The 13,002-nt window shown below is 57.8% G+C and overlaps 2 protein-coding genes and 1 non-coding gene across 19 annotated transcripts in view, besides 1 other annotated feature; 2 read left to right on the top strand and 1 right to left on the bottom strand.

The window, feature by feature from the left end:
• PISD (phosphatidylserine decarboxylase) overlaps positions 1-3,630 on the top strand; it is a 44,074-nt gene extending 40,444 nt beyond the window's left edge. For 9 of the 13 annotated variants that reach the window (NM_001326418.2, NM_001326413.2, NM_001326415.2 and 6 more), the window contains 5 exons: positions 236-472; positions 649-787; positions 979-1,125; positions 1,408-1,568; positions 2,285-3,630. In NM_001326418.2, coding sequence (NP_001313347.1) covers positions 236-472; positions 649-787; positions 979-1,125; positions 1,408-1,568; positions 2,285-2,509 — 909 coding nt within the window. In that variant the 3' untranslated portion in view covers positions 2,510-3,630. The remainder of the gene's footprint in view (positions 1-235; positions 473-648; positions 788-978; positions 1,126-1,407; positions 1,569-2,284) is intronic. The other 4 variants (NM_001326420.2, NM_001326419.2, NM_001326412.1 and 1 more) reach the window with 3 other exon arrangements.
• MIR7109 (microRNA 7109) lies at positions 590-654 on the top strand. The gene has a single exon (NR_106959.1). It is a non-coding gene; the product is annotated as a microRNA 7109 (primary transcript).
• Positions 3,533-13,002, bottom strand: part of SFI1 (SFI1 centrin binding protein) — a 122,450-nt gene continuing 112,980 nt past the window's right edge. For 4 of the 5 annotated variants that reach the window (NM_001007467.3, NM_014775.4, NM_001258327.2 and 1 more), the window contains 11 exons: positions 10,818-10,978; positions 10,281-10,355; positions 8,905-8,979; positions 8,591-8,767; positions 8,266-8,519; positions 7,261-7,332; positions 6,842-7,073; positions 5,244-5,376; positions 5,043-5,121; positions 3,895-4,006; positions 3,533-3,807 (listed from right to left, as the gene is read on the bottom strand). In NM_001007467.3, coding sequence (NP_001007468.1) covers positions 3,703-3,807; positions 3,895-4,006; positions 5,043-5,121; positions 5,244-5,376; positions 6,842-7,073; positions 7,261-7,332; positions 8,266-8,519; positions 8,591-8,767; positions 8,905-8,979; positions 10,281-10,355; positions 10,818-10,978 — 1,475 coding nt within the window. In that variant the 3' untranslated portion in view covers positions 3,533-3,702. The remainder of the gene's footprint in view (positions 3,808-3,894; positions 4,007-5,042; positions 5,122-5,243; positions 5,377-6,841; positions 7,074-7,260; positions 7,333-8,265; positions 8,520-8,590; positions 8,768-8,904; positions 8,980-10,280; positions 10,356-10,817; positions 10,979-13,002) is intronic. The other variant, NM_001258325.1, reaches the window with a different exon arrangement.
• Positions 11,357-12,003: an enhancer, noted in NCBI's record as "H3K27ac-H3K4me1 hESC enhancer chr22:32006104-32006750 (GRCh37/hg19 assembly coordinates)". NCBI's record gives its function as "activates a minimal SCP1, AML or CMV promoter by ChIP-STARR-seq in primed H9 embryonic stem cells {active_cell/tissue: H9 hESC(primed)}" and the evidence as "EXISTENCE:reporter gene assay evidence [ECO:0000049][PMID:30033119]".

Raw genomic sequence — 13,002 nt, 5'->3', positions numbered from 1 at the left:
AAATGATGAAATCCACTGGAGTTGTATGTAAATCCAGCACTCCGTGTGGCAGGTGCAGTCTGGTTCCCAGTGAGAAACAGCCACATCACAAAAGCAGCGTGGGGCACCTGGGCCCTGGTGTCCTCCGTGGGGTGCAGATTCTCCCCTGAAGTGAGAGCTGGGCTAATGACACTACTTGGGCTCTCTGGAGCTGGGGCAGTGTGGTCAACTCAGCCCCTTGCCCTGTGGCCTGCAGGTGGCTTTGTACAAGTCAGTGCCAACGCGCTTGCTGTCACGGGCCTGGGGTCGCCTCAATCAGGTGGAGCTGCCACACTGGCTGCGCAGGCCCGTCTACAGCCTGTACATCTGGACGTTTGGGGTGAACATGAAAGAGGCCGCTGTGGAGGACCTGCATCACTACCGCAACCTCAGCGAGTTCTTCCGGCGCAAGCTGAAGCCGCAGGCCCGGCCTGTCTGTGGCCTGCACAGCGTGGTGAGGCCTGACCCTTTCCTCCTGCAGGAAACAGGACTTTTTCCTGCCTCCCCAGCACAGCCCCCCTGGTCTCCAGCGTATCTGGAAGGGGCAGGATGACAAGGGGAGGTGGGGGCTGTCTCCTGGGGGGAGGAGACCCTGCTCTCCCTGGCAGCAAGCCTCTCCTGCCCTTCCAGATTAGCCCATCGGATGGAAGGATCCTCAACTTTGGGCAGGTGAAGAACTGTGAGGTGGAGCAGGTAAAGGGGGTCACCTACTCCCTGGAGTCGTTCCTGGGCCCGCGTATGTGCACAGAGGACCTGCCCTTCCCACCAGGTGGGTCACTGCACAGGCGGGGCTAGGCAGCCCTGCTGCTGTGTGGCTGGACCGGGAGGGAGGGGAATGCTGGGGAAGGAACTGAGGCTGGCATGTGGGGCCTCCCTGAGAATCCATGTGCAGACCACACTCGGGCTCCGTGCTGGGTGCTCACTGTGTTGGTGGCCCCCACGTCTGCTCCTACTCCACAGCCGCGTCGTGTGACTCCTTCAAGAACCAGCTGGTCACCCGGGAAGGGAATGAGCTCTATCACTGTGTCATCTACCTGGCCCCTGGGGACTACCACTGCTTCCACTCCCCCACCGACTGGACTGTGTCCCACCGGCGCCACTTCCCAGGTCAGCCCGGGGCCAGCGTGGGGGGAGCTGCCTCTGTGGGCTTCATATAGAGGCTCTCAGCTTCTTGGTGTTGGGGGACCAGGCTCCAGATCAGGGTCATTGAGGCCAGGAGTTGACTGCTTTATGCAGGCTGGTTGTGGGCAGGGGACCGTGGGGCCCAGTCAGCTCAGCATTTGGAGTGACATCGGGGCAACAGGCCATGAGTCCCTTTGGGTCTTGGCTGCCATGGGGTGGACACACCGGGCTCTGGACGGGGAGTAGCGGCATTCCCTGCCTCTGCAGGCTCCCTGATGTCAGTGAACCCTGGCATGGCTCGCTGGATCAAAGAGCTCTTCTGCCATAACGAGCGGGTGGTCCTGACGGGGGACTGGAAACATGGCTTCTTCTCACTGACAGCTGTGGGGGCCACCAACGTGGGCTCCATTCGCATCTACTTTGACCGGGTAAGCAGGATCTAGGCCCTGCCAAAGCCCAAGGGCCAGACCTCTTGGGTCTACCTGCCTTGTCTGCTGTGCGGCGGATGCGTTGGGACTGAATTCTAGGGAGGCCACAGCTCTGGTCAGGCCTGGCTCTGCTGAGCAGCTGTCCTGAGAATGGCCGCTCCACCTGCCAGCCAGCTGAGGCTTCCCTCCCTCCTTGCACTGCTGGCTGGAAGTGGCTGGAAGAGATGGAGGGAATTAACCTCCTTGCCTGGCACCTGGCTTCTGCTAGGAACCATGGTCAAAGGTGAGAGTGAGGAGGGAACAGAAAGGGAGTGTTGAGCTCGGGGTGGCTCATGTTGGTTACAGCATGAGGGGTCAGCACTCGCAGGTCTGCTGCCCACCCTGCCCCCAGGGGCTGCCTTTTTGGGTGTCAGTTTGTGACCAACGGCCTTGGCTCCCACGGGTGCTGCTCTCCCAGCACCATGCATGGAGACCACTGGGCCCCACTGTTCCCTGTCCTCCCTGGGCCCAGTTCACAGCAGGTGTCAAGGCTGTGTGTGAGATCTGGCTAGAGCAGGCCCACCTGGCCCTGAGATGCCATCCCCACCTCCCTTTTGGAGCTGGGTTGGGTGGTGGTGGGGACAAGCAACAGAGGGAGTGGGACTCCAAACACATGTGGGGGTGACACTGTGCACTTGGTGGCCTGGGCCCCACTGACCCCCAGCCTATCACCACAGGACCTGCACACAAACAGCCCAAGGCACAGCAAGGGCTCCTACAATGACTTCAGCTTCGTGACGCACACCAATAGAGAGGGCGTCCCCATGCGTAAGGGCGAGCACCTGGGCGAGTTCAACCTGGGCTCCACCATCGTGCTCATCTTCGAGGCCCCCAAGGACTTCAATTTCCAGCTGAAAACAGGACAGAAAATCCGCTTTGGGGAAGCCCTGGGCTCGCTCTAGAGTCTCTTTCCTGATTATGGCTGCTAAGGGATCTTTTCCAAACAGAGTGAGGGTCTTTTCAAGAGGGAGGCCCATGAGGCCATCCAGGTAAGGGCCTGCCTCAGCGTGGTTGGGAGTCTGACCAGGTAGGACTTGAATGATTCGGCTACCACCTGTTCCAGAGGTGCAGACAAGAGGTGGCGAGAGCCCCCATCATGCCCCTCAACCTATCCCGTTCCTTCTGCCTACAAATAAAAAGTGCAGGCTGGAATGATCTCAGTCACATTTGGATCTTTTTAAACACTGTATAGACGGAAGAGCCTGCATTCCTGACCGAACCTTCAGTTGGTCTCGGTTGTCGTTTTTTCTTGCTGCTCCTCCCCCCATCACCTGAGCTGTTTTCTGTTGGCCCCTTTTGTTTTTTGGCCTTAACGCTCCTGCTGCACAGGGTGAGGTGCCTCCTTGGCACAGACTGTGGATGCCTCTCCCCCAGCAGAGCCACACAGCCTTCGTGACAACTGCTTTCCGTTCCCACATTCACCTCATCCTGCTCTTTAGAAAAAGCAGTCTTTGTGCTTGTGGCTGAACGCATCACCCTGGACTCTGCTAGTGTCTTCTGAGGACACTGATGACACTGATTAATGATACAGACCTTTGCAGGACCTGATGAGTGACCCTTCTGGAGCTGGCCAGGTCCTCTGCAGCAGGCAAGACCAATCAATCACTGAACCTGCCTCATGGCACCAGAGTGAACAGGGCAGGCAGGTAGTAGGCCCAGCTGGGGAAATGGGAGAGTTCCTGTCCCCCTCCACATATCCCTACATGAAATATGGGAAAGTTGCTGCTATTGATTCAGGGTCTGTCTTGGAGGCAGAGGACCCTTGGTGGATAGTTGGTCAGTGCCTGGAAAACCTGTCCCAGTTTATCAGGAACGCAGGCCTGGGGAGCCCCCAGTGGCGGGGACAGGGCCAGATTTCATGTTGACCCTGGGGATGCTGTGAATTTCTCCTGCAGGAGAGACATCATTGAATTTTTTCAACTGTATCAGTAGCACAGTATTTTTGTATGAAAAGTGGGAGACTTCTGAACAGTAATTCATTTAATTGCAAAGCATTTTGAAATAAAAAAAATCAAACTTAAAACTGTGTTCTGTTCCTGGAGGTGGCCTGAGGCCTCCCCGACAGCCCAGCACCTGCGTTCCTGGTGCGAACACGCTAGCACAGGGCCTGCCGCAGGGCCTGGATGCGGGCAACGCAGGCGCCAATGGGCTGGCGCTGAGCCTGGAGCTCCTCTGCCAGCAGCTGGATCTGCATTTCCACCTGGGGCCATGGAGGGACAGGCAGGGCTGAGAGGGAGCACAGCCCGGGGCGTCCCCAGGGACACCTGGGGATGGCCTGGGGCCTCACCTGTTCCAGCTCTTTCTGCACCTGCTGCTCTACTTCCTGGTCCTCAGGCCCCGGCTCCTCTCTGTTCAGCTCCAGCCACCTGCGCAGGCTGCTCGCTTGCCGCCGACAGGACCTGAGGGGTGGAGATACCCACTGCCTGCCAGGCTGGGTCCTTGGCAGAGCCCCATCCGGCTCAGGGAGAGGCACCTCAGCTAATTCTGATGCGGGTATCGGGTGGAGAGAGGTGGTCTGGTAGGGCCCCTGACCTGAACTGCAGGCCCCTGCTTGGGAGCCAAACACTTGTTCTTTTTCCTCTCCCAGTCTCCTCCGCCCTCCCCAGCAGACAGCAACTCAGGTGGGCCTGGGCAAGAACACACTCCTTGTCTCTCTCCCCCTGTGCAGAGCCAAGGATGAGGCGCCAGTCTGTTGCCCTGGAAGCTCTGAGGTTGCTGCATGTTGAATGGTCCCCAGACCACTGAGTGCAGCTGAGTCACGGGCCTGTCTCCTCTGCATTTTTTTTTTTTTTTGAGATGGAGTGTTGCTGTGTTGCCCAGGCTGGAGTGCAATGGCGTGATCTCAGCTCACTGCAACCTCCGCCTCCCAGGTTGAAGCGATTCTTCTGCCTCAGCCTTCCAAGTAGTTGGGACTACATGCGTGCACCACCATGCCCGGCTAATTTTTGTATTTTTAGTAGAGATGGGGTTTCACCATATTGGCCAGGCTGGTCTTGAACTCCTAACCCCGTGATCTGCCTGGATCACAGCCTCTCAAAGTGCTGGGATGACAGGTGTGAGTCACTGCGCCTGGCCCTTCTCTGCACCTTTAATATCAGTGTTATAATTAGTCACTGGGGACAGCATGGCCTCATCGGGTTTTTAGAGTTTTGCTCAACTTTATCGTCCCCCCCATAGGAAGCAGAGCCTCTGTGCACAGGTGAGTCTGACGACTTGGGCCTTCCTAAGCAGCACTGAGCCGGGTAGAGAGCCATGGTGGAGATGGGGTCTTTCTGGACAGCACACACTGAGGGCTCCCCACACCCCTCCATGGCTAGACCGAGACCACCTACAGGACCCTGGCAGCTGGCTCGGGGGAAATGGAACTGCCTGCCCACCTCTCCAGGCAACACCTGCTCCTGTAGCCAGGGCTGCAGGGCGTTTCGCAGGGCTCACCAGAGGTTCTGCTTGGTGGTCTGGTAGTGCAGTAGTTGCTGCTGGATCTCCTCAAGTTCAGCCTCAAGGTCCAGGCTGCCTATGGCGACAGAAGTAAGCTTGTTTCAGACTATTTTCCCCTCGGGGACCAGGGTAAATAGCAAGTCCCAGGTCCGGGAGTGGCCTGAGTGCTTTCTGCCCTGACAGGCCCCAGGTACACACCTGCAGTTGAAAGTCCAGGCCCAGCCCTGGTGGCTGAGAAGTCCCCAGGAAGGAGTAGATGGGGGTCAGGGACACTGGCCAGGGATGAGGGGACCGGGGGCTTATCCCTAGGAGTAGCCCGCTGTGCTGACACCTGCAAAGGAAAGAAGGGTAGATGCTGAGCAAGGAAGCTAGGAGGAAGCCAGGGAGGGGGACACCAAGTCCTTGTCACTGCCTGCCCTGCAGGGGTGGGGGAAGACCAGGCTCCCAGCTGCAGGAGCTGGGCTTCCCAGGCACTGGCCGTGCCAGCTCAGTGTCTAGCCTGCCCCTGCACACAGGGCCTGGTACTGTAGGGGAAAGTCCCGCAAGCAACCAGGGAGCACCCCGTGTCACCACAGTCCGCCTCACGCCTCCACTGCCTGAGCAGCTGTTCCTAGCCTTGCCTTACCCAACCCTCCACCCCCACCTGCTCTAAGCTCATGACCTTGCTGAGCTTTGACATCAGTGAGAAGTGGTCAGTGAGAGGCCACTGCTCTACAGCCTTTTCCATGCCCTCCTCTCCTGGTGAGAGTGGACTTGCCCCTTCCATCACCGGACAGGGGTCAAAACCCTTTCAAACCCACATTCAAACCATTCCAGCCAGGGTAAGTGGCCCCACATGGCCTAACTCACCACAGGAACTGGTTCCTTCCTGTCCCCTCATCCCCTTTCAGGAACCAGCTGCTTTGGTGGCCTTAGAGCAGCTGTCACTTCCATTACTGAGCTCTCACACCCCCTGGCCATCCCCACCCAGGCTCCCTGCTTGGAGCCTCCTCCCCTCTCTCCTTCCCCTGTACTCTCCTCCTAGAGGCCGCAGTGGCTCTGGGGTTACCTTCGGCCTGTGCTGAAGATTCTTCTCAATCTCTGGCCCTGACCTCTTCCTTGAAGGTCAGACTCAACGTTTGCTTTCTCTCAAATTTGACATCAAGAGCCTGGTTCAAAACACTCTTGACACTTCACCCCAAACCAGTCCCCACCCCCAGTTCCTTCTTCCAGTCAAAGAACTCTGTTTCCCAAGTTATTCAAGCCAGCAGCCCACATCAGCCTGGATTCCTTCTTTCCCCTCATTCAGCAACTCCCTCAGAGCAGCATATCCTGCCTCATCTGCCTCCAAGAGAGTACCTGTCCCCTCTGTGGCAACCGCTGAGCCCAGGCCACCAGTACTACTTGCCTGGACCACGTGGTCATGGTGACCACAGCCTGCACAGAAACCTGACATGGTGCTCCCTGCCAAAACCCTTCCCCGACTTCCTACTCTTCTCAAATCCCAGGCTACTTCTCACTGTGGCCTGCAGGACCCTACGTGATCTGCAGCCACTTTACTGGCCTGCAGGCAGGGGTTTTTCTTTGCTTGTCTCTGACTAGAATATAAGCTTCAGGATGGCAGGGCCCTTGGCTGGCTGTTCACTGCTGTGGCCCTTGGACCTGGTGTGCAGTGGCTACCTATGCTTGTCAAATGGATGAGTGGCCTCCCTGTGCCAAGGTTTTCCAGAAACTAGTACAGCTGTGGCATGAGAAAGCACCAGAAGTCAGACCAGAGTGAGAGCCCCAGTGCCCAGGCCTGGTGGTGGAGGACGTACCCTGGCTGGTGCAGCCGCCCCGCAGGGCATGAAGGAGGAAAGAGGCAGCAGCAGCAGCTCCGGGCCTGTGCTTGCCGTCGGGGGCTGCTTCGGGCCAGGGGCGCTTGACAGGGCCCCAGGCAGGGGGCTGTGTGGGACCAGTGCTGTCGGGGCCTCTGCCAGGAAGGGCCGCGTCAGGGAGGGGGCTGCTGGCTGAGCCATGCCTAGGCCATGTTCCTGTGGCTTCTGAGGCCTGAGCACAGGGAAGGCAAGAGCCTGGTCAGGCCACAGGACCCTCCTCTGGGACCAAAGAACAAGAAGGAAAGGGGGCCACCCACCCCAGGGCTGCCAAAACACAGGCCCCACATGGAGGTGCCCGCTGCCTTTGGGGACCCCTGACCATCTCCCCCTGCCTGCCCACGGTGCTGCACCCCAGGGACCTCTGGCTCTGCGCAGGCTCCAACAGGAAGTGTGGGCGTCGCGGCTGCTTCCTCGCTGAGTGGGCAGTGTTGCTGGAAAGAAACATGGGGTCTGTTCCCCTGGGCTGACCAGGGGCTGCAGGGGGGTCTGAGATCTCTGTGGGATCTCCAATTTTATAGGGAGACTGAAAGTCAGGAAAGGCGAGGCCAAGGTCAGCAAGTAAGCTGGGGTGGGCCTGGGCCATAGAGCTCCCAGCAGTTCCGACAAAAGGTACCTGACGCCAGGGGACTGCTTCACCCACATTGTCTCTTTTGACCTGCAGAACAACCCTGGTGACGCTGGTGTACAGGTCGCCAGGGTCCATGTCACAGGGGAGCAGCCTCTGAGACGTTCAGGATCCCATCAAGGTCAGTCAAACAGTGAGGAGCACAGCAGGGACCGGGACCCAGGCCCCATGCACCCACCTGACATCTCCCCCGAGGCCCAAGGCTCTCGGGTAGTGCTGGTTGCTGTGGGAGCCACCAGCTTCATCAGCATGGGGCAGGGCAGGTTAGGGTTTGAGGAGACCATAGTAGGGGTGGGCAGAGGGACAGGTGCCAGCTCACACAAGAAAGAGGGGCTTCTGACAAAAAGCCAGTGTCTTGGCTGTGATGGAGCAGAAGAGAGGCCGGCAGGCACGGGTAGGAGCTGAGCTTGTTCCCTTTGTCAACTACGTGTATGACTCCGGAAAAGATCGTGTCAGCAGGACGGGAGAGAGGGTAGGAAGGTGTTGCAGAGGAGGGGACACCTATTTCCTGAGCTTTGGCAGGCAAAGGAGAGAGGGTTTGGAAATCCCACTCCATTCTCTCCCTCTTGCCGTGGGAGGGATGGGATCTGGCTGGAGAAGAGGGGGTTCCCAGCAGCTCAGCTGTGACAAGGCCGTGACCAGCCCGTCCCATCCCGTCAGGGCTGTTTTCCTCCCTGCTATGCCATCCAACCTTTTGCCCAGGGTGGAAGCGAGGACAAGGTGAGCACAGGCTACTCACAGCTCCAGGGCGTGGGGCTCCTCAGCAGCCAGGCGGCCCAGAGCTCCCAGAGGCCGAGAAGCCTGTGGCCTCTTGGTCTCAAGGGTGCCATCCCCAGCCCCAGCAGCAATGCGGTTGAGAAGGGGACCCTCAAACGTCACTTTCCTGCTGGGTGCGATGGCTGCCAGGGGCTGAGGCTTCCCGCCCCGGCCCAGCACTTTCTGTTTCCAGAGCGTGGCACAGCGGCGGACGGCACGATGGAGACTGTGAGCCGCCTACAACACAGCCTCTGGTCAGCTCATGCCACACCCTGCCTGCTCCCCACAGGAAGGGGCCCTGGGCCTACCTGGACCTGCTGCTGGGCCTGCAGCTGCTGCCGGGAGGCCTTCATGCTGGCTGCAAAGCGCAGGAGCCGCGTGGCACCCTCCTGGAGGAGCTGCCCCTGGTAGGCCTGGAGCGCCCACTGCAGCCGCGCCTTCTTTCTCCTCCTTTCCAGTACAAAGGCCAGCCACGTGGCCCACACCTCCAGGGAGGGCAGGAGGTGAGGCCCAGGTCTCCCTGCTTAGAGCTCCCCCACAGACCAGGTGCCCTCCCTCCACCCAAGGCAGGGCTAAGGCCTGAGGGAGAGGCAGGGATGGTAGGATGCAGAGCCCCAATTACCTTTGCCTGCAGCGAGAAGGCCCAGAACCACAGGGCCCGCACTGTCGCCCGCTGCTCCTGCCTCCTGGCTGCCAGCTAGGGCCAGAAAGACCAGATCATTTCCCTATAGCCCCTTCAAGGAGGCCGTGGTGATCACGGGGCCCTGCCCAGCTCGTCCCTCTTGGCTCCCTCTCTAGTCGAGGCTCCCACTTCCTCCACTAGGAAGGGCCAGCCTTGTGCCTGGCGGTGAGATGCTCAACACACGCTCCATCTGTGGCCTGAGGAATGACCTTCATGAAAGAAGGTGGCAAAGGGCTCCTGCAGGGGGATGCGTGGAGGCAGCGGCCTGAGGTCCGGGGAATGGTGAAAACAGGACAACAGAACGGGAAGAGGGAGCTGGGGACGTGTGGATGCTGCTCTGTGTGATCCCTCTTGGCTTTTTAAAAAGCAAGATCCCAGCAAAGCCTTAAAACACATTTCATGTTAATTTTTAAGATATTATGCTGATTTTTCTTTTTGAGATGGAATCTCACTCTCATCCAGGCTGAAGTGCAGTGGCATGATCACAGCTCACTGCAACCTTGACCTCCCGGGCTCAAGCAATCCTCCCGCCTCAGCCTCCCGAGTAGTTGGGACCACAGGTGTGCACTGCCTACACCCAGCTAATTTTTCTGTTTTGTTTTTGTAGAGATGGGGTCTCACTATGTTGCCCAGGCTGGTCTTGAACTTCTGGGCTCAAGTGATCCTCCTGCCTCGGCCTCCCAAAATCCTGGGATTATAGGCGTGAGCCATCATGCCCGGCCCACTGATTATATATATATATATATATATATATATATTTTTTTTTTTTTTTTTTTTTAGACAGAGTCTCGCTCTGTTGCCCGGGCTGGAGTGCAGTGGTGCTATCTCAGCTCACTGCAAGCTCTGCCTCCCAGGTTCACGCCATTCTCCTGCCTCAGCCTCCCGAGTAGCTGGGACTACAGGCGCCCACCACCACGCCTGGCTGATTTTTTTTGTATTTTTAGTAGAGACGGGGTTTCACCGTGTTAGCCAGGATGGTCTCGATCTCCTGACCTCATGATCCGCCTGCCTCGGCCTCCCAAAGTGCTGGGATTACAGGCGTGAGCCACTGCGCCCGGCCTCCACTGATGTATTTTTTAATACAACACTGTAGAGAGAGAAACTGGCCTTGAAGTAACTGTTCTTATGCAGACTGCAGACGGAAGGAAGCTGATGTGCCTGGAAATGACAGGAAGGTGGTAGAGGAGGTGGCCCTGGGGAGGGTGATAGTAAAAATACTGAACTAGAGGTGTAGGCTGAAGGTCATTCACTGCCCAGGCCTCACAGGCCAGAGGATGGAGAAGGAAGTGCAGAGGGGACATCTCCTGGGTTCCCACCTGTTGTCTCCACTGGCGGAAGCAGGTCCGGCTGAGTCTCTGTGCCAGCAGTTGGGTGCTCTGCCTGTGCAGGAGCTGGGGGAGAGCAAGTGCACAGAGAGTGGCGTCCTGACCCAGCCTAGACAGCCTGGGGTGGGTCCTGATCTAACCCAGCCTCTGCCCAGCTGAATGTCCTCCCATTGCTAGGAGTCCTGGATGGTGCCAGGGGTCTCCTGCATAGGCAGGGAGTGCCGCCTAGAGGACTCACTCTGTAGGTCCCCCAGCACTGATAAGCCACGGGTCAGCATGAACCGGGTTTTTCCGCTGAGCCGTCTTCCCTGGGAGACACTGGATTCTGGGGCTGGCTACTCGCTAGGCTCCACCAAACGCCCAGAAAGGCTCCTGCAGCTTTGTCTTACAGGACCCCAAACCACCCACCACTCATACCGGCTGCATGGAGTGCTGTCAGGAAAGACCCCTTCCTGAGAAATGGTCTCCTGGCCTGGACACCCCTTGCCAGGCAGGCAGAACTTGGAGAGTTGCCACCGTCAGCCTCACCCTCTTCCTGACACACTGCAGATGGTGCGTCTTCCACCGGGCCAGCCCCTCCAGCAGCAGCTGCCGGTGGTGGTGTTGCACTGCCCTCTCCAGCTGCAGTCTCTGCTGGGCTGACCTCCGGCTGCAGTCCCACCAGCGCTGAAACCAGGTCCGCAGACAGCCTAAGGCAGATCCAAGTCAGAGTTTGCTGTTTTGTGGGATTTCCACCAGTGACTACATAATGGTGAAGGTGCAGACAGCAGAGATGGCTGTGCAGGGATAGAGTTCAGGTGTCCAGCCCACATGGTGAAACTACCACACATGGACCATGGCCCCTCTCTAGGGACAGCTCTGGCCACCTTTGCCAACAGTGAACCCCCCGGGGACTGGAACCAGATCTGTTTACTGTTGTGCTCCCCAACAGCCCTCTGAGAGCCACAAGCCTGTCCACAGCCTCCACAGGGGTGCCAGGGGCACCCTAAGAGTCACGTGCAAAATGCTGCTGGGCACGTGGAAGAAGACCCTCAGTCTGAGGGGGGAGGAGGAGGAGCCCCCACTTCAGCTGCAGCTTGGAAGAGAGGGCAGCCTGTTTTGCCAGGGTGGAAACCAAGGCCCAGTCACAGCAGTCAGAGCAGCCCAAGCCACGGATGGGGAGGACAGCGCTGGTCGCCAGGCCATGCCCTCTGGCTCCCTGGGTTCTGCAGGAATGGGCCACATCCTGCATTTTGTTTTTGTGTCACCAGATTCTCCCTTTGGTGAATCCTTCTTAGGCCCTGAGAGAACTTTCTTTTTGAGACAACAGAACAGGGTTGAGAGCAGGGCACAGATGCCAAGATGAGGAGCCCTCCAGGCCCACTGAGGCAGGCAGGGAAGGCGGCAGATCACAAGTGGGAGGCACCCACATTAGTGCTGCATGCTGATGCCTGGGCTCTGTCCTAAGTGTGTATCTCTCTACCTGTCATCTCACTTGATCTCCACGACAACCCCAAGAGGTAGGCACTGTTATCCCCATCTTACAGATGAAGACATTGAGACTCAGAGAGGGGGCCTGCTGGAGGTCACACACACAGCCAGGTTATGACCGCCAGCCTGTACTTCTTCAGCACTCTGCATAATGGGTCTTGTGACATCCTCCCCTCAGTCCCTCCTCCCAGTCCCACCCTTGGCCTGCCAAGGTGTGCCTGAGACACTGAGGCCTTAATACAAGCCAGTCAATTGTTCCCCAGGTATTTACTGTGTACCTACTACGTGTACACTGTCTTGCAGCCCAGTCTCCCAAGCCTCTCATACCATCTGTAATGGACGTGGCAACCCAAGCCTGCCACCGCCTCCCTCTAAGGAAAGTCCTTCAGAGAGCAGCGGCTTCCGGCAACACTCAAACCCGTCGCCTCTAACTTCCCACCATGGCCAGGAGTGGGCACCTGACCCTTAAGGCAGCTGACCCAAACTGGCCAAAAGCCTCTGGAGCTTGAAGCTGCACGGTCAGGTGCCCAAAGGGTCAGGTGCAGAAGCTCCAGAGCCCAAGGTCTGGCTAAAGCCCTCGGCTTCTTTCTTCGTAAACTAGAAACACAGTGCTGGTTTCTGAGCTGAGGAGAAGCTCCAGGACCCAGCAGCACATTCGTGGCGCAGTAATGCAGCCGTGTGGGATGGCTGACCCCAGGGTTTTGTCCCCAGGATGTGTGTTGAAACATGCTCATTAACACACACGCTACAGTCGGAACCAAACCAAAGCTGATTCAGTTTTGTCCTGGAGCAAACTCTATTAAACCAACTTAACCACTTGGTCAATTTCTCTATGGGCCAATTTAAACAATTTCTAAATGTTTTCACTTTTATTTGTATTTTCATTTATTCTAAAAATGAGCTGTCCCCTTCAGCGTGTCAGATTCTCCTACTATGGGACCCCTAGCTGTGTTAGGAGACAGCTCCCCATGGGTCTGCCGCGTGTCTGTGCATCTTGCAAGCAGGGGCATGGACTCCTGTTCTAGACTATCTTTCCAAAGATTTTTTAAAAGAGACTAGGTCTTGGCCAGGTGTAGTGGCTCACGCCTGTAATCCCAGCACTTTGGGAGGCCGAGACGGACGGATCACGAGGTGAGGAGATCGAGACCATCCCAGCTAACACGGTGAAATCCTGTCTCTACTAAGAATACAAAAAATTAGCCTGGCGTGGTGGCACACACCTGTAGTCCCCGCTACTCTGGAG

Source organism: Homo sapiens, chromosome 22 (genome assembly GCF_000001405.40).
Source record: "Homo sapiens chromosome 22, GRCh38.p14 Primary Assembly".
Taxonomy (NCBI): Eukaryota; Metazoa; Chordata; class Mammalia; order Primates; family Hominidae; genus Homo; species Homo sapiens.
This window is presented reverse-complemented; position numbering and strand designations above follow the sequence as displayed.